The sequence below is a fragment of the Homo sapiens genome, chromosome 3 (assembly GCF_000001405.40).
Source record: "Homo sapiens chromosome 3, GRCh38.p14 Primary Assembly".
In the NCBI taxonomy this organism is placed as follows: Eukaryota; Metazoa; Chordata; class Mammalia; order Primates; family Hominidae; genus Homo; species Homo sapiens.
Genome location: NC_000003.12, coordinates 71655010 through 71655714, shown reverse-complemented (window position 1 = coordinate 71655714; position 705 = coordinate 71655010).

The following is a 705-nucleotide window of genomic DNA, read 5'->3' as shown; positions in this document are numbered from 1 at the left end:
TGATAAAAGGTCTGTTTTTATTTTCATCCTTTCAATAAATGTTGATTGTCTATCGTATGCAAGGCAGTAAGAACAATTTTCTTCTTCTCCAAAGCTGGTCACACTTAGCTATGCAAAGCAGTCATGTCAAACTTTAAAGGTTTTTTCAGCAGGAAAAAAAAAAAATGTCTAGGGTCAATGCTACTAAGACCAACAGGATATAAAATTGAACCACGTGGTCTGATTCTAGAGCTCTCCGAAAGATTGTTCTAAAACTCTGCCCTTCTTTTTGAAGGGGCTTTTAACATTCTTTAGACTTCACTCTACCATTCCCTACTTGCAATACCATGTTCAGGATTATTCTAAATGATTCCGAGACTTTCCACAACTATGTCTATTTCAAGTCTGTTCTCGGAAGATGGAACTCCACAGAAGGCGGTTCACATGATTTTTAGTCCGAATCTATAAATAATTGGTGGATCCATTTTAGCCCCCAAAACTCCCATCTGGTTCTCTGTTCACACAAGACACTAGGCCCAAAGCTTGGAAGGATAGTAATCCTGCGAGGCATGAAGATCGTAGGATAATTGTGATTATAGTAGATGCTCCTTGCTTCTGGTTTTTTGTGGACTGTAACTTGGGCTTTCCCAAGGTGATGTGCACCGGATCCGCAGGCTGGATGGATAGGGTGGGGCAATCGCCTCTAAGTGGACATTTATTTTATCT